The sequence below is a fragment of the Homo sapiens genome, chromosome 5 (assembly GCF_000001405.40).
Source record: "Homo sapiens chromosome 5, GRCh38.p14 Primary Assembly".
Lineage (NCBI taxonomy): Eukaryota > Metazoa > Chordata > Mammalia > Primates > Hominidae > Homo > Homo sapiens.
The window spans coordinates 160,629,152-160,653,041 of NC_000005.10; the positions used below are offsets into that span (position 1 = coordinate 160,629,152).

Sequence of the window (23,890 nt, forward strand, 5' to 3'; positions counted from 1 at the left end):
ATGGGCAGGTGCAGGAAGGCACAGAAGGCAGGTGGAAGGGGACAAGTGCAGAGAGTCTGTCAGGAGTGGGTGGGGGTGGGCACCGAGACAGCCACCTGGGGCTGCCACAGGAGCTCTCTAGGGACGGCTTCAAGGATCTGACACCAGCTAGATGTATTTGATGGGTTAGCACAAGAGTCCTTAAAGGCTGCATACTTCACTCCCTTCAGCAAATGCCTCCCAAGCTGTAGAAAGTGCCAATTTGAGCCAAGTGAAGACTCTTTCCTGGTGGGGTGATGGCCTGCTTATGGAGGGTCCCCATCTTGGCTGCTCCTTAGAATTATCAGAAATTAAAATATAAGTGCTCAGGACTCACACAAGACCAAATATACCAGGATCTCAGGGGAGAGAGTTCAACAACTGTATTTCATGGAAACTCCCCATTTTCTCTTTATGACATCAGATATGTGAACATTTGTTCAAGGCAGACAGCTTCCCTTTAGAAAGATCATTTAAAACTTCCATTAGGTATCTGTCTAGAACACACAATTTTAAGAATTAAATCCTCAAAATAAACTCATGAGCCAGAACAATTGTCTTCATTTTAACAATGGGTAGGTTGAGGCTTCCATTTCAGTAAGCCCACCAAAGTCACAGAGCTAGTACATGGGGTAGCTGAGATGAAAACCTGACACATTAGACTCCACGTGTGCCTAATTCATAGCTGGAAGTTAGCCTGCAGGTCAGCAAAACATTATGTTATTTGATCTTTAGAACAGCCTGGTGAGAATTGTAAGTAAAGTATTTTCAGGTGGTGAAAGAGACATAGAAGGAGGTTTAACATGTTGCTTAAGGTTACCCAGCAAGCCAGTAGCAGAACTAAAACCAGAACCTCCATTTCCTAACTCTTAGCCCAGTGCCCTTCCTCAAAACTACTCAAAAATACAATTGTTCCACTAACCCCAGATTTTTAAGTGACCTTATTACATAAGAGTATACTTAGCTGTTCATAAAAAGAACATATCACCATCTTCCCTTCACCAGGCAACAAGAATTGGAACTTAACTCGTGTCAATTTCCTTACTGCTCCTGAATGAACTTAGTCAGAACTTGCCTTTGGGACTGCCAGCCAGGGCAGGATGATGACATCTAGGATCTGGAGATAGCTCTGGGGTTAGTGTGTCCCTCTCACTGGCCATCAGCTAAAAGCCCTGCATCCAAGATTTACTGCCTGGACCAGGGATGCAGTTTTTCTGGGCTGCTGAGACTTGTCAGACTGAACAAGGGGCAGTGAATTGATGTGACCCAACTGAGATCCACAAAGGAAAGCTTCCTTTTTCTCCCGCTCATTTTCTGGGGGAGACATACTCAGGCATGTGGGATGCCTGTGGTATCTAGAACTGGAAGATGCCAACGACACACAGAATCTGTGCCTAATGAGAATTCACTAAGGTCATTTTACAAATATTTAAGAAAATAACTCGGGGAAGTGCATTACATTTATGGGGGCAAAATTAAGAAGGATGTAGCAATATACACACCTTGTTATTATCTCGTTTGGGAAAATAAAAAAAACCATGAAAATCTTCCTGAAGACATCTATGGATCATTTCACTTGTGTATTTATGAAGGTCATATGTCTTAACACACTGTTCTTGCCTTATCCTTGCTAATGTTGCATTTCCGTGCATGACAATAACCCGAGAGGGAACTCAACTTTGTCCTCACCCAAAGTTAGATGAGTAATGACCCAGAACAGAGGCTCACAGTGTTTCTTCTTTGTCACAGTCAGAAAACACAGTCCTTGGTTATGAATACTAAGTAGCAATATGGAAAATGTTTTTGATATCAAGTTAAAGAAAATCCCAGCATCTACAATTGATATGTACCATGATTACAAAAAATGTTAAATATATGTGGTTATGTGTGTGTGTATTCATGGGGGAAATAAAAGACTGGGAAAAAATTGGCCAAAAGGACCATTTTTATAATCTAATTTTCTAATAAAGGGATGGTAGCCCTTTGGGTCCCATCTGTTAGTATGTATCTCTTGTTCAAGATTGCTGGGGCTCCCTGTGGCCTCTTGTGCAAGTGCAGAGATTCCAGATGATGTGTTTTTATGTTCCCCGGAGAAAGAGTGTGTGCAAAGGAAAGAGGAATAGGACAGTGGGCAGAAGCCCTGGTCTTGCCTTGACTTCTAAGAATGCTGTGTGATCTCTGGGGAGAAACTTGGTTTTCTTTGCTTGCTACCTGGATGTTTGCTGATGGCTATCCTAGTGGATCAAATGTGAAAGGACAATACGCAGAAAGCCCCAGACCAAAGCCACAAACAGCAATGCCCATAAGGGCCGAAGGGAATTAGTTAAGGGAATGAAATGGTCTGGGTAATCTTGACATAGATATTATTTACTTCATAACTATTTAAAACTTATTTTTGATCACCAAAAAGTATATTCTTCCATTTTTCTTCAAACACACATGCCTTACAGGCTTATCTGTTGTTTTTCTCCCTTATAGAAACATAAGCATAACAAATATTTCTAATTTCTCCTAACTGTATAATTTTAAAAACATGCATAATGAGTATGCAGTTGCCTCCACCTCAGTGACGGGATACATAGAGAAGGTGGGTGGGGGGCTGTGATGAGCTGAAGATGGCATGCCCAGTCTAAGAGTTAGGGACCTCTCAACCCAAGCCAGTTGTTGCCATGAGGAAATGCTGGCTTAGTGTGGAGAATTTTTATAATTCAATTTTTAAAAGAGAAGCAAAAAAGTCTATATGCTTACATAAAATCTCTGATTTCTAAACATTGAACATTTCTAATGAACAAGAATTGTCTATGCCAACAAAACACATGTGTGGAGTATGTACAAAACCAAGGGCACCATTTTGAAAGCTCTTCAGGGTTTGTACAATTTTTTCTTTTTCACATTCCAGAGCACCCTCCCTCTCTTCCCACAGAACACTTACAGTTCAAAGGCAAAAGTCAGGACTTACTATGGAGCTGCTGAAGGCCACAGGAGGCTGTGAGCTTTCACGGTGCCCCATAGACCTTTGCCGGTAGTGGCCCTGGATGGGCACCCGGGCACTCTGGCTCCTCCTCAGAGGCTGAGCACCTTTTTGGCTTCTCATAGTTGCTGGATCCTGGGCCCATCTAGCCGAGAAGGACAGGCATTGGTATTGGGTCCACTCTTCACCATCTGAGTCCAGCTCCTTTGGGGTCTCCAGTCGCTTAGCTGCAAGAAAGGAGTCCTGTTATTGCACTAGTTGTACCTCGGCTGGACCATGTTGGGGAAAACCTAGACTTTGTGTGGGGGGTGGTAAGAGCATGGGAAGGGCCTATGCTACTCTGAAAAATTGGCATCTGGGCTACCAAGACTGGAGAAAGAAGGGTAAAACTAAGTCCCACAGATTCAAACTCTAGTGGACTACCTACTAGTTATGTGACTTTGAGCTTTGACATAACCTGTCACTTTATTTCCTCAGAGGTTTTTTTTTTTTTTTTTTTTTTAGGTTTCTAACTCATAGGGATGTTTTGAAGATTTAATGATACAATGTGTTAAAATAACTAGCATACTCTAAGTACTGGTAATGTGGCTCTTATTATTATTACAAAGAGACCAGAAGCTCCCATGTGAATGGTCTGCTATCACCATGGCAAAGGGGATACAGCTGCTTATAATACTCTCTCCATCTTTCTCTTTCTCCATCCCTCACACTCAAAAGAATGAATACTTCTCTCTTAAGAGTTTGTTTTCTTCAAAAAATGGGTGAAGGATATGAACAGACACTTCTCAAAAGAAGACATTTATGCAGCCAACAAACATATGAAAAAAAGCTCATCATTACTGGTCATTAGAGAAATGCAAATCAAAACCACAATGAGATAACATCTCACACCAGTGAGAATAGTGATCATTAAAATGTCAGGACACAACAGATGCTGAAGAGGATGTAGAGAAACAGGAATACTTTTACACTGTTGGTGGGAGTACAAATTAGTTCAACCATTGTGGAAGACAAAGATTCCTCAAGGATCTAGAACCAGAAATACCATTTGACCAGCAATCCCATTACTGGGTATATACCCAAAGGATTATAAATCATTCTACTAAAGACACATGCACATGTAAGTTTATTGCAGCACTGTTCACAATAGCAAAGACTTGGAACCAACCCCAGTGCCCATCAGCGATAGACTGGATAAAGAAAATGTGGCACATATACACCATGGAATATTATGCAGCCATAAAAAAGGATGAGTTCATGTCCTTTGCAGGGACACAGATGAACAGGAAACCATCAGCAAACTAACACAAGAACAGAAAACCAAATACTGCTTGTTCTCACTCATAAGTGGGAATTGAACAATGAGAACACATGGACATGGAGGGGAACATCACACACTGGAGCCCATCGGGGGGTTGGGGGCTAGGGGAGGGATAGCATTAGGAGAAATACCTAAGGTAGATGATGGGTTGGTGGGTGCTGCAAACCACCATGACACATGTATACCTATGTAACAAACCTGCACATTCTGCACATGTATCCCAGAACTTAAAGTATTGAAAAAAAAGAATTTCTTTTCTTTTCTTAGAAAGTGTGTGTGTGTGTTGTGGGGGGGTGGGGAGGGGAACGAAGTTGGGCAGATGATGGCTGAAGGAATCAGATCAGTTTTATGAGTCATATTCAGTCCATGCAAGGTAACAGTCCAGGCATTTTATAGCCCTATCTCCTAAATCAAAACTTTGCCTCAGTGACAAGCTAAGAGATCTGTTAGAATAGAAGACATCTTCTGGATGTATTAAATCTGACCATGCACCTAGACACAGACCTGCCCTGACATGTCAGGTAAGGTGGCCTGAGAAATTCCTAAGCCTTGGTTGTGTGACTGGCACACAATTGGGAAATGTCTCCAATCCATTGCTGACAGATAAAAAACTCGTCTCATAAAGTGCTTTGTCTGGCACCAGACAAAGATCAGCTGAAGGGGAACCACATATGGGATAACTTCTAACCTTTGTAAACAAATGAAAGTTTACAAGTAATTGGAACAGCCCTGATCTGTGACAAGGAAGACCACAGGGATACAGGAAGCAACTTGTGGAAATGCCACACAGCCTCTAAGAGAGCCAGGAGAATGTCTTTTATCTCCTCGTTTCTTAGGAGAGCAGGGTATTTCCTTTTAGAAAGAGGGATGGAGCCCTTGGGAGCTTCTATACCATTTTCTTGGTGAGAATACTCGCTGCCCATGATGGTGCAACGTCGGAACACCATCTTGTTCTCTGTCAGGGTCCCCGTCTTATCGGAGAAGATGTACTGGATCTGGCCCAAGTCCTCTGCGATGTTGAGGGCTCGACATTGAATGGATAAATCGGTCTCTTCATCATACAGGTCAAGGTCATTGCTCAAGAAGAACACTTGCCCGAGCTTCACCAGCTCAATGGAGACATACAAAGAGATGGGGATCAGCACCTGAAAAGAGATGAGTTTCTACCATTCAGAAACCAGGCAGGTTCCCTCCCTTGGGATCCTCACTAGCAGGTAGCAAAGGCATTTCATAGAAAGTTGAGGTCAGCTCACAGGACAGACTCTCTGTGAAATTAACGGTCAATGACCTCATGCATCCCTTGGAATTCTTAGGGGAATCTGAAAAACAGGTATGTCTTCTTTGACCAGGGATGTCTAGTCACCATTGGTTGTCTGTGACTGAGCTGGGAGGGAGTGAGAGAGACTTAGCATCTCTGTTTAGAGTCCTCTGACTCCCTTTAGATCTCTGTGCCACCAAGGGCTGCTGCCCGCTTTTATAGGTATTCAGACCTATTGTTAATTTCTCCCCACTGATTCAATATCTCATATTTACCAAGTGCTTGCTGTGCATTTGATGCTGTTCTAAGTCCTGGAAATGGGAGTTAACAGAACGTAATTCCTGGCTTTGAAGAACTTGCCTTCCAGTGACAAAGAACAAACAAATAAATATATATGAGTGGTGGTAAGTTGCATGAGGAAGAATAAAGAAAAGAGGGTAGACTGATGGCTGGGTGGGATGCTTGTAAACCATGACCTTTGAACAGAGATATGAGGAAGTCAGGGTGTGAGTTGTGAGGTTATCTGGGGGAGGAGTGTTCCGAGCAGAGGAGAAAGCCAGGCACAGGCCTGGCAGTGGGGGTGGCGTTTGGGGAGTAATAGGGAGCAGGCCTTGCAGGTGAGTGAGGAGGGGGAGAGGGCTGCGAGGGGAGGTCAGGGAGGGAGTCAGGGTCCAGATCACTTAGGGCTTCATCAGCCACAGTAAGGACTTTGGATTCCACTTTGAGTGGATATGAAACCATGAGAGGATTCTGTACATAGGAGGGGTATGATTTAATTCGCATTTAAAATAGATTACTCTGCAAGATGAATGGAAAATAATCACCAATAAGAGGGCAATGAAACATCCTCCAATACTACAAGAAATGGTAGATGGAGCTCCACAAAAGGAAAACTACAACTTCCCTCATCTTTTCATTGATTGTATTTTCTTAGAGACACGAAGGTTTTAAAATTCATCTCTTCATCAATTACTGTCTCACATTTGTCTCACTTTTTTCTTCTGTCCTATATTGGGCCAGTTCTGTTCTTTTCCTTCTCAATGTATCAAATGTTAAAACACTAACTCGTGATTTCTCTCTCTCAATGTTGGGGCAGAGAGTTCTCTGTCGCTCACTGTGCTACTTTATCTTCTTTTGTTCCTAGATCATTCATGTTTTATCTGTTCTGGCAAAGGGACAGGCACATATGGGTCACTGCTGTCATCTTAAATAGAAAAGCTAATAAATATTTCCCTCCAGCTATTATCTGGGGGCAGAGTCCCCTCCACAAGGCAGGGCTGGGTCCTTAAATCACCCAAAATGTGAATACTTTCAAAGACGCACAAGAAAGCGATGACCATCTCCTCATCTCAATCCAGTTTGTACTTTCTAGTGGCCAGCACTGTTTTTTCTTTATTTTACAAAGTTGTAGGAGTTTTGGCCACATATCTTATTGGGCCCCTAGTTAGGGAGGGCTTCCTACCTGGAGCAGGATGATCATTGTGAGGAACATGTAGAAGCCCCCAAGGGCACTGGGAAGGAAGCTGCCATTGGCATCTGGCACATCGAAGGGAGGGTGTTCTTCAAAGGTCCCATTCCAGATGCTGTGACCTGAGAGGAGGCAAAACCAGGAATGAGGCTGAATCTCTACTAAGTCCTAAAGTTGGTCAATTATACCAGCCCTTGACACATTCCTAGAAATGGGTGTGCTTTGGAGGACCCCTCCTTCTTCCATACAATGTAGCTCTGTGTGTGTGTGTGTTTGTGTATGTGCATGTGTTCATGTTGCTCTAAAGTGGTTCTTCGTATACATTTCAATCCTTTGATAGGCATTAAGTTTGTTTTACAAGAGGAGATTGGCATGAGGATTACTTCTGTTTTGATTAAGTCTTGTTAAATAGGGGCTGGAAAGAGAGAAAGAAATACTTGTTCTTTTTTGTTCTGTGGTGCACACTTTTGTGCATGGGTAGGGAGCCTTGAGACCTGTCCCCTAGTCTTCCCCTTCTTATCCCATCTAATGCCCATCTACCCATCCATCCTGCCATTAATCAATTTTTCTATCCATTTATCTATCCATTCATCCATCCATCCACCTACCCATCTACTCACCCGTCCATCCACCCATCCATCAATTCTTCCATCCACCCACTCATATACCCACCCTTCCTTCCTTCCTTCCATTTATCCATCCATCCTTCCATTCATCCATTTTTCTATAGATTCATCTATTCATTCATCCATCCACCCATCTACTCACCCATCTATCCATCCATCAATCCCTCCATCCACCCACCCACCCATCCATCAATCCATCCATCTATCCATCCATCCATCCATCCATGAATCCATCCATCCATCCATCCATCCATCCATCCATCTTTCTATCCATTCACCCATCCATCCACCCATCTACTCACCCATCTATCCATCTATCCATCCATCCATCCATCCATCTGTCCATCCATTTATCCTTCTATTCATCAGTTTTTCTATCCATTCATCTATCTATTCATCCATCTACCCACCCACCCATTCATCCATTCATCCATCCATATACTCCATATACTCACCCATTTATCCATCCATCCATCCACCCTCCTACCCACCTACTTACCCATCCATCCATTTATCCATCCATCCATTCATCCATCCATCCATCTATGTTTACCCATTCATCCCTCCCTCTGTCTGACATTGATTAATTCAAGAAGTTAGTACTAATTCTTGTCATTGTGGAGTTTGCTTCCAAATTAGGGAGCCAGGCATAAAAGGACAAATCACATACAGTATGAGAGGTGCAATAGCAGAGCCTAGAATGCTGTGACAGCCCATAGCAACAGCACCAGGTACAGACTGAACTCTGTTTCCTTATCTGCAAAGGAGATAACAACACGCATTATCTGAGGATTATGTAAGGTGAAGTGCATCCAGCACCTGTTATAGAGCTCACTAAATCTCAGTGTTCTTGTCTGTTAAATAGTAATAATACCTTCTCTATAGAGTTATTGTGAAAATAGAATAATCTAATGTTTAAAATGCTCTCAGCTCCAAGAAGTATAGAGAATAAAAGGCATAGAGGATGTTGCAATGCCTAAAGATGCTTCCTTGCCCAGGAGTTTGGGCCAAATGCCGTCATACCTAACAGAAGAAAGGAAACTTACAGACATGAAGCTATTTATGTGAAGGTACTGTTATAAAGCAGATGACTAAGGACAAAACACATGGCACAGAGTAAGGGCCACTGGCCTTTAAGGGAATAAGACAAGTATGGGAAAAGCCCGAGAAGGCTGAATGGATGAGGAGGACTTGAGGGGGTCCTGGAGCCCCAGCACGTGTTGGATGGTCAGGAGGGCCAGGGCAGAGTATTCTGGTGAGGAAAGAAGAAACACCACCTTTACAAAATCAAAGTAAACATGTGGTCAAGAACTGTGGAATGGTGCTCATTTGAGAGCTTTCATCTTCTGTAGGGCTGTGCTTTAATTAGGCATCATCAGAGTCCTGTGTATGAGTTGTTAATTCAGAATAGAATTCTGACCCTCCTCATGAACTTTCTTCATTTCTTTATTGTTTTGGGGAATCTGCCAAGCAGATTCTGGTTTCCCTGTGCCTTATCTTGTCCTGTGACCTTTTAATCATTAACTTTCTTTTTCTGGAGACACAGTGAGATGATCTCAAATGTCTTTTTCACGCTGATATGCCCTGAAAAACCTGTCCTGAAGCAGAAACAACAGTTCCTGCAGCATCTTGGGGACACAGGTGGCCAAATGGGCTGGGGAGAGGGTGGGAGCGGGGACAATGGCTTTCTTGTTTCCCTGCTTCCCCTCCCCCAGGTGCTCTCCTTACAGCTGTGAGCCAGCCTCAAGTGGAGTGCTATTAGACATACCTGGGAACTCCAGGCCACCCACAAGACTCAATCCCATCTTCATCACTGTAGTGGCACACAAAGTCTCTCTGAGCCCCTATGAAGCTCTCAGCCTTTCAGACACCATCTTTCTAACAACAGCAATGGCTACGATTTCTGACTAATGCAAGTAAACAGCAAACACCACTGCTGCTCATTGGTTTCGGGTCTGCATATTTCTGGACTCAGGACATGAGTTTTTCTCTTGATTGTCCCTGGTTCTTTCTGAGATCTCCTTTAGCATCCTGAGAATCATTTTTAGAATAAGGCCATAGACAGTGGGGAGTCTTGGCCCCTCTTTATCTACACTCTGAGGATCAACTTAAAGGGCTCCAGATCACTCCTGTCTCCACCTCTCATGGTGCTCCTCACTCAGCTCGGGCCACAGACTGGCTCAGCTTTGGTCTCCATTCTTGGCCTTACTCTTGCCACATCCAACAGCCAACTGCTCCTCTGCACAAAACCATTTTCCTTCCTGCCTCTGTGCTTTGTGATTTTCCTGGGGCTAAGAGTGGCCTCTCTCTTTCTGCTCACAGCTGCCTGCCACATCCAGCCCCTACACTTGGCTCTGCCATCCTCCTCCTCTGGCAAATGTCTACTCCACTTGAGAATCAGCTTTAGCAGCTACCTCTTCAAGAAAGACTTTCCTCATTGCTGCTCCCATAATATCTGTGGTAAGGTGAATAATACCCCCTCTCTCCCCAGGATATATCCTAATCCTTGGGGCCCTATGAATACACTATCTTATATGGCCAAAGGGCTTTGCAGATAGGATTAGGTCATAGATCTTGAGATGGGAAGAGTATCTCGATTATGAAGGTGGGCCCAATGATGTAATCACAGGTGTCTTGTAAAAGGCAGGGAGAGCTACTGCTGCAGATGAGGAGAGGAAAATGTAGGCAGAGATTGGGGTGGTGCACTCTGAAGACTGAGGAAGGAACCACAGACTAAGGACTATAGGCAGCCACTAGAAACGGAAAAAGACAAGGAATAGAGCCTTCCTTCAGAGCCTCTAGGAGGAACCAGAACTGCCGATGCCCTGACTTTAACGCAGTGGTCTGCAACATTTTTGGTATCAGTGGCTGGTTTTGCGGAAGACAATTTTTCCACAGTCAGTGGGGAGGGGGAGATGGTTTCAGGGGTTTCAGGATGATTCAAGTGCATTATATTTACAGTGCACTTTATTTCTATTATTACATTGTAATATATAATAAAATAATTATACAACTTACCATAGTGGAATCAGTGGGAGCCCTGAGCTTATTTTTTTGCAACTATATGGTCCCATGTAGGGATAATGGGAGACAGCAACAGATCATCAAGCATTTGATTCTCATAAGAAGCACACAACCTAGATCCCTTGCATGTGCAGTTCACAATAGGTTTTGCACTCCTGTGAGAATCTAATGCCACCACTGATCTGACAGGAGGTACTGGCCCTTGGCCCAGGGGTTTGAGACTCCTGCCTTAACCTACTGAAATTGATTTTGAACTTCTGATCTCCAGAGCTGTAACAGAATAAATTTGTGTTGTTCTAAATGACTGTGTGTTCATGTTTTACAGCAGCAATGGGAAACAAATACAGTCTGATTCGTCTTGTTTTCATTCCATGCTACGAGAGTGCCTGTGTTCAGTAAATATTTCTTGACCAAATAAATATCAGATGATATTCTGAATAGTTAAAGAACACATACTACTTTTAGGAGATTTTCTCTTGCATTTTCATTTCATTGGCATCCCGTTAAAGTGGGCAGGGTAGGCTTTACATTTTATTAGCCCTACTTTATAAATGAGGAAGCTGAAGAAACTTGCCCAAATAAATCGATTACTGTGTCCTTGTTCTTTCCAGAACATCCCATACCTACAGCTCCAATAAGGCACATGAGGATGAGGATCCCAATGCAGAAGAAGATGTCTATATTCATGCGCCGCTCAATCTTGCTGCGTTTGTACCGGGGGCCACTGTTGTTCAGCATGGCTTTCGTCTCATGGCCTTTGAGAGAAAATGAGGAAATCAGTCCCTTAGTTCCTGTTTGCCTATGTCTTACACCATTCCCTCAGCTCTTCTCACAGGAGCTTAAGATAAAAGAGAGGCTTCACTCTTTAACCTGAACTTGCCCCGCCTCAGAAGGTTGCTGAGAACAGCTGTAGGGGCCTCACATAATTTACCAGCAGGCACTCAGTGAGCATCCCCTTCATGCATGCCAGACACTGTGGTGGGCACTGAGAGAGCTCCCATGCACAGGCTATGCCCTGTACAACTTTAGAGCGTAGCCCTCATTCTGTAGTTGCCAAAGATTTATAAGTTTATTATGGACAGAGTTCTGGCAAATGATAGTAAGCTGTCTTAAAGAAGGGCTGTCTTTTCCTAATTTGCACAAAGGTTCTGTTCCACCTGTTATGGGCTAGCAGTGGGATACAATGGCAAGACATAGGGTTCACATTCTATTGAAGATATACAAGAAGACAGAAGGGATAATTATCATTATTAATAAGTCCTATGAAATAAATAATATACAGTAAACAAAAGGCCAAGGTGGAAAAGAGGTGGTGTTGGAGAGCCTGCTCAGGGAAAGCTGCTCCAAGGAGATGACATTGAAGGGAGGCCTGAAGGGAAAGCAGAGTTGGCAGCAGAGTTTTAGGCTGGGGAACTGTATATGCAAAAGCCCTGTGGTAGGACAGTGCCTGGGACCAGCAGTTTCCCTATTTGTTTCTTTGGTCATGCCTAAGTTGTTGGTGTTGCCTGAGCAAGAGTAGTAGGGACCAAAGGTCCCCACCCCAGCACTAACCCTGGGCAGCTCCACTCCTATGTTGAAGTTTTGCATACAATTTTGGTTAAAGAAAGGATGACAAAGTTTGAAAACTACCAATCTCACCCAGTCACCTTCTTCTCCAGTAGGGGAAGCTGAGGGCTAGAGGGTAAAAAGGATCTGCCCAAAGTGAAAGAATAAGTCAATGTCAGAGTCACATTGTGAACCCAAGATTCAGATTGCCAGTGTAGTTCTCCTTTCACCAACCCCTGGGACCCAAGATCACACACCTAAGAGCTAAGAGTCAAACTGAGACTTTGTCTTTAGACAGAGCCTCTCCTTTGGGGCTGCTGAATGTTAACTACAGTGCCATACTCCTCAGCAGTCAAATGAAAAACACATCAGTTGCATATTTTCTGTGCAAAATTGAAGAAAACCAATACATCAGCTCCAGAAGCAAACGGCTTTTATGCTGTTTAGCTGGTTGTCTTGTGGATTTAAAGTAGCAACAAAACAGTAGGAGCAAAAAAACTCTAGGCTTTTAAAATTAGACTCAAGTTGCTGCAGTTGTGAGCAGGGGTTCCAGCAGTACTCCTGGGCCTGTAGAATTTCTGCCTGCCTCTCAGCCTCACTCCATTCAGGGATCCTGGGACTATCCCCTTCACCCACCTGATCCTTGCCTTCTGAGACCCCTCTGTTCTTTTGGAAAGAGTTGGGTTCAAGGGGAGGAAGTATGGGGCAGTGGATAAGAGTGTGGGCTCTAGAGTCGGAGCTCAGCTCTGTGGATACTTGACCTTGGGTTGCATAGAGTTCAACTCAGGAGGCATGTGACTTTGGGTGAGTGATCCTCTTTGTACTTCAATTCCTCATCTAAAAAATGGGAGATGATTGTGGTGTATGAAGTGGGAAAATAAATCAATACACACAAAGTACTAAATTAGTTTCTGGTAAGTTGGGACTCAGTGTTTGCTGTGAGGAGCACACACCTCTACATTGGACCTCTTTCTTCTGTAAATCTCACCTTGGCCTTTTTGGGCCTTTGACTCTGAGGCCCTGTTTTACCCGTTGATAATGTCAAGGGTGAAATGAGAATTCTGGACCATTGCTCTCACCAGGAGTGATTTTACTCCCCAGAGGACATTTGGCAACGTCTTGAGAAATTTGGGTTATCTCACTTGGTGGGGGGTGCTAATGCATCTTGTGGGTAGAGGCCAGAGATGCTGCTAAATACCCTACAGGACAGCCCCCGTCACAAAGAATAATATGGGCCAAAATGTCAATGGTGCCAAAGGTGAGAACCCCAGCTCTAGATAATAATGTTAAAAACAACTGGTATCTTCTTTCTCATAGTTTTGCGGGCCTGATGTATTCCAACTGTCGTATTAGGCCCTTTTCACAGATAATCTCATTCTAACATTATAAAGCTACAAGGTAGAAACTATTAGTCCCTCTTGCACTGAAAGTTCAACCATCCTGTTCAGGAACATGCAGAATATGAATGGATTTTACCCATAGGCAGCCCGACTAGCTGGAGCCATGGTTAACACTCCATATCTGCCACCTTATATACCACTCCCATCACCTACTCAAGGTTTCTTCTTTATTTCTGTTCAGGCAGAGAAGCAAAGCTCTAAATCTATGTGATTATGATTACCATTTTCTTTTTTGGTACAGTGGAGATTGCTGGAGAGTTCATTTTTAATAGGTTTACCAGATGGTGTTGAACTCCATTGCTAAAGATCTTCGAAATAAGTCATCTGAACTGACAAATATAATCCCCCTCTCCCAAATTAGGGAAAGCTAGCTAAATCGTGACATTATGTTTAAAAAGACCTGTTTTTCTTTGACAATCCCAAAGAGTAAATCTTATGGTAGATGGATATTTAAATGCTTTTCTATGTCCATCAGAAGTGGGGTTCTATGGAGACCAAACCAAACAAAAAAGCAATAAGCAAACTATTCCAAAGTGTCCCAGTGAGTGGAAGACTCAGAAGAAAACACATTCTGGAGTTTTCCAGCAAAGGTAGATGCTCCAGAGAGACCATGTTTCCTCTGTTGTGGCTGAAGTCTTCAGGTGTTCATGTAACAACAGGTGCGTTGCGTACCTACGAGCACTGGTGTTAAGTACTAGAGATACAGCAGCTCCAAGATTGCCCTCCAAGACTTTAGATTCCATTGTGAGAAGCGCTGCTATTATCTTTTTTCATTGGAAAGCAGGATCAAAGTGGGAAGGAGAGATAGGCCTCCATATATGGAGCCATAAAATAAATAAAGGTAATAGTAAAAACATAACTGCAAAAACAACTAAAACCCACTGAGCCCTCTCTTTGCTATAGGCAGTGCTGGATGCTTTTCATGTGCTGAGTAATTTGATCCTTACAAACACTCTATGAGGCAGATACAAATATTCTCCCCACTGTACAAATGAGGAAATTGAGGCTCCAAAGGGGAAGTTGTTAAGTTTGGTGAGGTTATTCCACAGGCTTAAGAAGATACACTTCATTCTGGCTTTAGTTAGTAGCACAAAACCACCGGGATGATTGAGTGTGAATCCCTTTCCCTATCTAGTGCAGATGGGTGATATTAACTTGGAATCTCATCATGTCTCCTGTAGAGTGAGTGAACTGCTGTGATTCCCAGCCTCCGTTTGCTTAGTTGAGAAATGGGAAGTTACATGAGTAAATGGGAAGTTACTGTGAACAGTTGTTGGTTCCCATTGACTGAAGATGGATTTGGAGGGGGAAGGATAAAGGAAAATTCAGACAAAAGAAACTACCCAGACAATGACCTGCATAGATGACAATGCCAACAGCCATCTCGGTGTTTCTGATGGTGCAGCCTCGAAGCAGAAGACTCTCACAGCCAAAGCCAGTCCTGGTCTGGTCAGGATGCTCCCTGGGGATGATGAATAAAAGACAGGGGGTGGTTTGGTGGCCTTTCCTTGCTGTCACTGGGTACTGTCACAGAACTAGAAGTGGTGAGTGAACATGATCCCTCTCCTCCCTGTTTTTTCAGAAGAGTGATGGTAGCTGAGAATCTAATCTCCTTCATGTTCAAGGGTAGATCTCTTTTTTGCTCCTAGGAGGCCTGGGTGGGAGCTAGACCATTAGAAGGGAATTGTCCACCCTGAGAAAATTGTCCCATTTACCAACATAAAAGGCAGAACTCTGGTGAAAAAGCCTTGGCTTCAATTCTCATATTCAAAATGTTTTTATGCAGGTTGCAGCAAAGAAGTCAGCCAAAACCCACCAAAACCAAGATGGTGATGAGAGTGACCTCTGGTTGTCCTCACTGTTACACTCCCACCAGAGCCATGACAGTTTACAGATGCCATGGCAACGTCAGGAAGTTACCCTATATGGTTTAAAAAGGGGAGAAACCTTCAGCTCTGGGAATTATCCATGCCTGTCCCAGGAAACTCATGAATAATCCACCCTTTGTTTAGCATATAATCAAGAAACACCCATAAAAATGGGCAACCAGTAGGGCCGGGTGCAGTGGCTCAAGCCTGTAATCTCAGCACTTTGGGAGGCCGAGGCAGGTGGATCATGAGGTCAGGAGTTCGAGACCAGCCTGGCCAACATGGTGAAACCCCGTCTCTACTAAAAATACAAAAAATTAGTCAGGCATGGTGGCAGGTGCCTGTAATCCCAGCTACTTGGGAGGCTGAGGCAGGAGAATCGCTTGAACCCGGGAGGCGGAGGTTGCCGTGAGCCAAGATTGCTCCTTTGCACTCCAGCCTGGGCTACGGGGCAAGACTCCATCTTAAAAAAAAAAAAAAAAAAGGGCAAGGGGCTGTTCTGCTATGGAGTTACCCTTCTTTTATCCCTTTCTTAATAAACTTCCTGTCACTTTAAAAAACAAATAAGCAAACAAAAGTGCAAGGGAACTGGCTTCTGGCCTTACAAGGACTGGCAGTGTTCACATGCTCATTGTCATTCAGCTTCTGGGGACCTGAACTGCAGAAGGTGAACTTCCAAGGGGAGCCTCCAGGTAGTCTTGCTTTTCATACAGGGGACAGGGGACAGGTAAGAATGGTAAAGTAAGGAAGGGCAGGTCATGGGTTCCTCTCGTTCCGAGCCACATCACTCACTCGGCCTCTTTCCTGTACCAGCTTTCACCTGCTCAACAGCTCATAAAATAGACCTCACAGGAGTGGCCCTTTGCCCAAATTATTGGGAGGCAGATCCTAAAAGTAGAGATAGTTTCTTCTTTCTTCTAGTCCAGGGAGCATTGCAGTTTTCCACCTCACACTAGAAACTTCTGAGTCCAATCAACTCTAGTTATGACCTGGGGTCTGGCCTTTACTCTATCCTGATGCCGTTCCTTTGAGATTTTCAGCAAGCTTAAATATAACTTTCCAAACCTATTTGGGAGAACAAAAAAATAATAATCCGAACTCTTAGAGCTCTTTTTTAAACGTGTTGTTCTTCAATACTTCTTATCGCTAAGTCCAGTTATAAGCCTTTTTCACTGAAGCCTCATGACAACCTTATAAGACAGGGCTTATTATCATACCCACTTTACAGATAGGGAAACTGAGGCAAGTTCATAAAGCCAGGAAGTGGCAGAATGGGGATTCAAAACTAGTCTGGCCCCAGAGTGCTATACTGCCACTCAATATGCCTTTTAATGCTAATGATTCCTCACTGTGTTTATAAACTACATTTACTTACATGATTTTGTTTGACTCTTTGTGGTCTGGGAAGTTAGTAGGATGATTATTTTTATTTATGAAAAAGTAGAAGCTCAGAGTGGCTGAGATTTTTCCAAGGCTATACAACTAGTACATGAGACATCCTAAGACCAGGGAATCTAGGTCACAGACACCCACCCTACTGAGATTTTCACTACCTTAGGGTACCTAAAGTACTACCCCACTCACCCACACTAAATCAGAGTCATTTCTATTTTCACTTCTGCTGAATATGTCAAGGAGGATGTTTCATTTCTTGCTAGTATGTTCTTGACCCTATTCTAATGTTTGTCTATCCTACTTTTTAAAGCAAAGGATGCTATGGCAAATAATAGTTAGAATATAACTGTTTTGATTTCATTGTATTAATTTTTACCTCTTAAGTATAGTAAGTGATCCTGGTTTCCCATAGGGCCCAGTGATATAAATTTTCCTTTTCAAATAAATTTTGGAAAAAGTAAGGTAATTAAAAATCTGGTAGATAAAATAGATTTTACTGAATATGATAAAAATCATAAAGGTGGTCTAAGAATGTCTGAGGTTCAGGACCCACCATTGCTCCTTCTGTTTATTAAGGAGGAGGCTGGCTGTGGATTTAATACTGGGCTAATGAACCTTGCTTGTCTCACTGTCAGTAGCTTGTGGTTTCAAGAATAATTTTAGGATGTTCTGAAGTGATAGCATATGAGAGAGGCTTCTACTTCTCTCGGTTGTAATGTTCCTTTTCAAAGAATGGTAGAAAAGGATTTGCTATCTTATAGCTGTTGTCTATTTAGCGCTCTTGGTTTACAAGGATGGTCTATTATACTTTTTATAGGCCAGCATTTCTCAACCTTGGTGTTATGAACATTTTGGACTACACAATTCTCTGCTGGGGTGGGGGGCTGTCCTGTGCATTGTAGCATCCCTGGCCCCTACCCAGTGGATGCCAACAGCACCCCTCCCCAGTTGTGGCAAGAAAAATGATTCTAGACATTGTCAAATGTCTCCTGGTTGGAGGGGTGGTTTTGTTGTTGGTGGTGATTGTCCCTGGTTGAGAACCACTGCTCTGTAGAGATTCTTTCATTCAAAAGTCGCATTTTCAAATTGGACACCCTAACTTTCAAACAGATCATTGAAAGCTGTTGATCTTCTAGCCAGCCTGTGCAGCCTCAGGGAGCTTCTAAATTAACGGAACCCACAGAAGCTTCTGGGAAACCCAGAGGCATCAGACCAGTGGGTCTGCTCAGGAAGAAGGTGGAGACCATCTGTGGGTGCCAGGCCTGAGGGTGTTCTTGCTGAGTACAGCAAGGATGTAGGAGCACAGCAAGGAATTCTCCTTCATTCCATGGGTTAGCTACTCCGCAGTCCAACTGGACTTTTAGGACTCATCCATGAGGCCCAGTCATGTGGAGGAAGGACAGGTCTCCCAGAGCAGCAACTAGGAAGAGGAGGTGCTGGGGGCTGAGTGAAGCTGGGAGAGTTCTGTCCTGAAATCCGTCTGAGAGGGGCAGGCTGGAGCAGGTTGAAAGCTGAGAAAGGCTGGCTGTTAGCCTGAGCTGTTCTGGGGAGAAAGGGTCCTAAACAGAAATCTAACAATGAGGCTGTTCTCTAAGAGGATATGGAGAGTGACTCAAGGCGTGAGGGATTTGGGATGAATCAAGTTCACAAACCTAAGGCACAAGGGGCGCCCTTCTCTTCAGAGCAGGTGACAGGCTTTACCTCCTTTGCAGCAAAGGCCTTTTCCCCAGGACCTCAGGCCCTTCTCTGCTTGTCTCCTTCTGCTCGCTCTGTGTATTTTAAAAGTAATTTGCCTATAAAAGCTATGGTTTCTCTGGTATTCTTCTTATTGTTTCTCCTTTCTATTTCTCCTCATTATATCCCTCATGGCCTGAGGACATGTGGGTGGAAGAAAGCAAAGACAACTGCATTTCAGGGAGCTGCAGGCCCTATTGGTGGAGAAATTGGTGTAACATGGCTGAGCTCCGCAATGTACGGCTATGGAAAGCACACTGGGGTTGGAGTCAAAAGACCCCCATATAAGTCCTGGCTTTGTCTTGTTCCTGCTGTGAGTTAGGGAGAATCTTTGCATCTATAAAGTCTCAGATCATCATAATCCACATCACGATATTCGCTTTCTGGGGTTGTTGTGAAGATTACACATGACAATGTTCTCTAGAAGTCCTCTGAAAACTGTTATAGCAAGCTTGTCCAACCCATGGCCCACATGTGGCCCAGGGTGGCTTTGAACATGGCCCAACACAAATTCATAAACTTTCTTAAAACATTATGAGATTATTATTATTATTACTACTTAGCTCATCAGCTATTGTTAGGGTTAGTGTATTTTATGTGTGGCCCAAGACAATTCTTCCAATGTGGCCCAGGGAAGCCAGAAGTTTGGACACCCCTGTAGAAAAGCATCGTATAAGGGCATTTACTCACATCTGTTACTATGGCTCTTATTTTGTGGGAAGACTAGTGGTCTGATAAGGGAGCAGAATTGCAGTAAAATGCTTAGGCTGAACCAAAGTTGAGGAATAAGAATAACAATTATCCTAATAGCAGGAGCCACTGTTAATTGAATATTTCCTCTCTGCCAGTTGCTGTGCTAAGGGCTTTGTGTATGCTGACAATCTTAGAAAAGAAAAACCCTTTGATATAGATATTATAATTTTATTTTATGGATGTGGAAACAGGCTCAGAGAGGTGAATTAATTTACCCAAGGTCATACAGCTTGTAATTTGCAGAACCCCGATTCAAACCCAGATCTGTCCAATTCCAAAGTCCCTGTTCTTACCTACAATGCAATATAGGCACTTAAAAAATTGATCTTAATTAAATCATATTCACCTTCCTGAATCAGAGCACAATCTTGATTTTGATGCTATTTTACTAAGGTTTTTTTTTTTTTTTTTAACAACATTGGTGAATTTAACCCTGCAACATAAATAACTATCACTCAGCAAAAAAAAAAAAATAGAAAAAGTTTCCCAATTTAAATTTCTCTAGTCCCTCTTTATCACACACACACAAATAAAATTCCTCAGGATGAAGATGCTTATTTGTTTGGTCATTTCTAGACAATATATTTTCTAGCTGCAGCGGAGATATTTACTAGCAGCATGGGACATGAGATACTTACATATAACCCTTAAATTTGTTGAGGTGGTTGTTGGGTTTCTCACACACGATGGTATTGTGGAAAAGCTCTGGTTCGAACTGTACCTCCTGTGAGAGAGAGGACTCTGTGAGTTTATTAATTCAGAGGGATCTAGTTTTAATAGGATCACTGGGAGAGCTAATCACTGTTAGAACCATTGCAAATAAGGTAATCCATGCTTTGTCACACTTTGATAGTTGTAATGTGTCAGAAAAAAAAGTTAAGTCCTCATTAAGGAAGAGAAAGCAAATGCCAGTGAAAAGTTTGATGCAGGGCAGAGGGAGGTGATTACCCTGATTGCATTTCTCTGACCTGCCTGGGTGTGGGGCTGTAGCCCAGATCTAATAGAACTTACTGCAATGATGGAATGTTCTGAGTCTGCATTGTGCAGTATGGAAGCCACTAATCACATGTGTCTATTTAGCATTTGAAGTGTGGTAGTTTGACTAAGGAATTGTTTTCTTAAAAAATTTAATTTGATTTTAATTAAGCTTAAATAGCTACATGTGGCTAGTGGTTATCACATTCGATACCACAGAAATAGATAATTAAAAAGAAGGCATTATAAATCACACCACATAGAGATATCCACAGCTAAAATGCTTGCGCATGTAATATTTCCAGGGTTTTAAATATATATATCCATTAGCCAGGCATGGTGGCTCACACCTGTAATCCCAGCACTTTGGGAGGCTGAGGCAGGCAGATCACCTGAGGTCAGGAGATCGAGACCAGCCTGGTGAAACCCCGTCTCTACTAAAAATACAAAAATTAGCCAGGCATGGTGGTGTGTGCCTCTAATCTCAGCTACTCGGGAGGCTGAGGCACGAAAATCACTTGAACCTGGGAGGTGGAGGTTGCAGTGAGCCAAGATCGCGCCACTGCACTCTAGCCTGGCAGAGCAAGACTCTGTCTCAAAAAAAAAAATTTTATATATATATATATACACACACACACACATACATATATATACATATATATACATACATATATATATACATGTACACACACACATACACACATATGTACATATACACACATATATATATCTCCACACCCACATATATTTGTGTAGGTATATACATGTGTATTTACACATTTTAACAACGAGATTCAGTGTTCATTACAACTGTCCCAGCACTGAGTAGCTAGATTAAACATTAAAAGCTGATTGAGCCAGTGTCCTTATACAATGGCTGGAATGTAACAAAGATCCCACCAAGGTTGCCTAGGCTTTTCCTGGGACTTGAAGCATGAGAGGATAATGAAGGAATTCTTATCAGGACCCTTTTCAGGATGAAATAAGTTTAATTGGTGGTCTGAAGAAACTCCCCAGGCCTCCACAAACAAGTTTAATGGTGTCTAAAGGAACTCCCCAAATCCTTATGATTTGTCAGGAGACAAGATAAAGTAATCACCTCAGCACCTAGACTCATTTAGATTAATTAAACTTACTGAGGCTCCAGAAGTAGGTCTTCAGGACCCAGACCTTAGTTATAGATTAAAAGAAGTTAATCACTTATGTCTTCAGATGAATGCACACTTACACGTAGGCATATAGCTTAGAAGGTATATAAACTCTGGAAAACTTTGTAACTTTGAGTTGGTCTGGCAATAACTTCCAGGCCTTCTCCCTGTAACTGGTTAGAGAAATAAAAACTCTCTTCCTCCCCAATTCATCTGCATCTTGTTATTGGGCCACGAGAAATAGCAGCCCAACCCTCAGTTTGGTCCAGGAGCAAAATTGACCATATTTCCTTTAATCGTTTCACCATTTAATAGGTATAGTGTTTCAATTTGTTTTGCTGTTATAAAAATGCTGTGAAAATAGTAGCTAATAGAGCAAAATAAATAGCATTTACTGGACACTTATTTCTGCCAGACACTGTAATAAGAACTTTATTATTTATTTTCAAGCTTACCGTCATTCTATGAAGTAGGAGCTTTAATTTGCCTTTCTTTAGAGATGGGAAATCTGTGACTGAAAGGTAAAGAAGGCTCCCCATGGTCAAACCTATTTAAATCTCATGGGCTGGGATTTTAATTCAAGTTCACCTGCAGACCCTCTACTCCTTACTTACTCAGCACATTGCTTCCTGGTGAACAGTCTTGTAGCTAAGTATTTTTTTTAAAGGCATTTCTGTTGTACAAACTCTTTTAGTCCAATGGGGATGAAACACAACTTGAGGTGGGGAGATCTTGCTTTCTGACTCTCCTCTACATTGACTAATCCTACGTTCAACTCATGAGCCTTCGTTTCTTCATCTGTAGAATGGGGCTAACATCACCTGCCCTGCCCATCTTAATTGTGCCTCAAAAAACAGAATCTATGTGTTAAAGTGTTGAAACATGTAACATTCCACCCAAACAGAAGGCAGCAGTGGTAAAGGTGGGATTGGAGATGGTTTCCTGGGTAGAGCTTTTAGCAAAGGGCGTGAGTTTATCACTGAAAGCTTCAAGGTACAGCTGTTCAAAGGGGTAAATTGATTAAAAGAAATGATAGCATTTTCTGGCTTCGTGTAAATATACTGTCCATTGGATTTGAGGGGGTGCCAACATAAATAAACTCTCTACTCACTTGAAATAAATTACCCATCCAGGAGTTTCTAAAAATATGGCCCTTTTCCCTCCAGGTATTGATTCTTTCAGGGACAAACACTTGCTGAGCTCCAAGATGATGACAAATCATGCTGTAATTTGTCAGCTGCTTTCATGCCCCTGATTAAGTCATGTGCTTCACTCCTGATCCACACCACTCAGCTCAGTGGTGGGTCTCTAAATCCAAACTCATTTCAGATATGACTGGCAGTGGGGTCTGAGCACTAATGATCCTTCTGTAATGCCTCGGAGTCCCTGCTGCCTGTTTAATCACACCTGCCGGGCCCCAGCAATGGTGAAGTTTGACTCTTGTTCCTCTGTTGGGGCTTCCTAGCCACCTCCCTCCTGAAATGTCCCTTCCTCCTGCTGTGTCTCCTTTCCTGCTGAGCACAGGACTTTTGTCCCCATCTTCCTCTTTTCATGAAAAGGTGACCCTGCTCTTTCTAGCTACTTGTCCCCTGGGCTCTCTTCTTCAGTTGGAGGAAGAGGGGCTGTGGAGAGGGGCATATGGGTCCTGCTGGCTGCAAAGACAACCACTGAGGCCCTGCTTGCTTTTAAGAATTTGCTGTATTTCCCTCCAGGGCAGCTGCTGGGCCAGCTCAAGACACAGAGAACTGCTGAGCCTTACAAACCTGTCAGGGTTCTTATTTATTTATTTATTTATTTATTTATTTATTTATTTATTTATTCGAGACAGGGTCTCACTCTGTCACCCAGGCTGCAGTGCAGTGGTGCGATCACAGCTCACTGTAGCCTCGACTTCCCGGGTTCAAACAATCTTCCCACCTCAGCCTCCTGAGTAGCTGGGACTACAGGCGTGCACCACCAGACCTGACGAATTTTATATTTTATAAAATAAAATTATATATGTATATATTATATATACATATATAAATACATATGTATAAATAATATATACATATATAATTTATATATAATATATACATATATTTATGTACTATACATGTACATATTATATACATAAATATAAATATATATAAAAATATATAATATATTATATAATATATTATATATTAATTATATATAATATATATTATAAAAAGATTATAAATTATATATAATATATATAATATATATATAATTATATAATATATTATATATACATGTATATATAATATATTATATATACATGTATATATAATATATTATATATACATGTATATATAATATATACATACATATTTATATTTATATATTATATATATTTATATTATATATTTATATATTTATATTT

General features: G+C 42.3%; 1 protein-coding gene across 15 annotated transcripts in view, besides 1 other annotated feature; it reads right to left on the minus strand.

Annotated features, from left to right (window-relative positions):
• ATP10B (ATPase phospholipid transporting 10B (putative)) overlaps positions 1–23,890 on the minus strand; it is a 366,241-nt gene that overhangs the window by 66,032 nt on the left and 276,319 nt on the right. For 9 of the 15 annotated variants that reach the window (XM_047416995.1, XM_011534468.3, XM_047416994.1 and 6 more), the window contains 6 exons: positions 20,020–20,105; positions 14,987–15,093; positions 11,310–11,441; positions 7,031–7,158; positions 5,203–5,455; positions 2,978–3,216 (listed from right to left, as the gene is read on the minus strand). In XM_047416995.1, the coding sequence (XP_047272951.1) occupies positions 2,978–3,216; positions 5,203–5,455; positions 7,031–7,158; positions 11,310–11,441; positions 14,987–15,093; positions 20,020–20,105 (945 nt within the window). Of the gene's footprint in view, positions 1–2,977; positions 3,217–3,472; positions 5,456–7,030; positions 7,159–11,309; positions 11,442–14,986; positions 15,094–20,019; positions 20,106–23,890 lie in introns of those variants that run through there. The other 6 variants (NM_001366656.2, NM_001366654.2, NM_001366653.2 and 3 more) reach the window with 2 other exon arrangements.
• Positions 15,854–16,009: a silencer, noted in NCBI's record as "fragment chr5:160072012-160072167 (GRCh37/hg19 assembly coordinates)". NCBI's record gives its function as "represses an EF-1alpha promoter that drives an FKBP-Casp9 reporter gene in an ReSE screen in HepG2 liver carcinoma cells {active_cell/tissue: HepG2}" and the evidence as "EXISTENCE:reporter gene assay evidence [ECO:0000049][PMID:32094911]".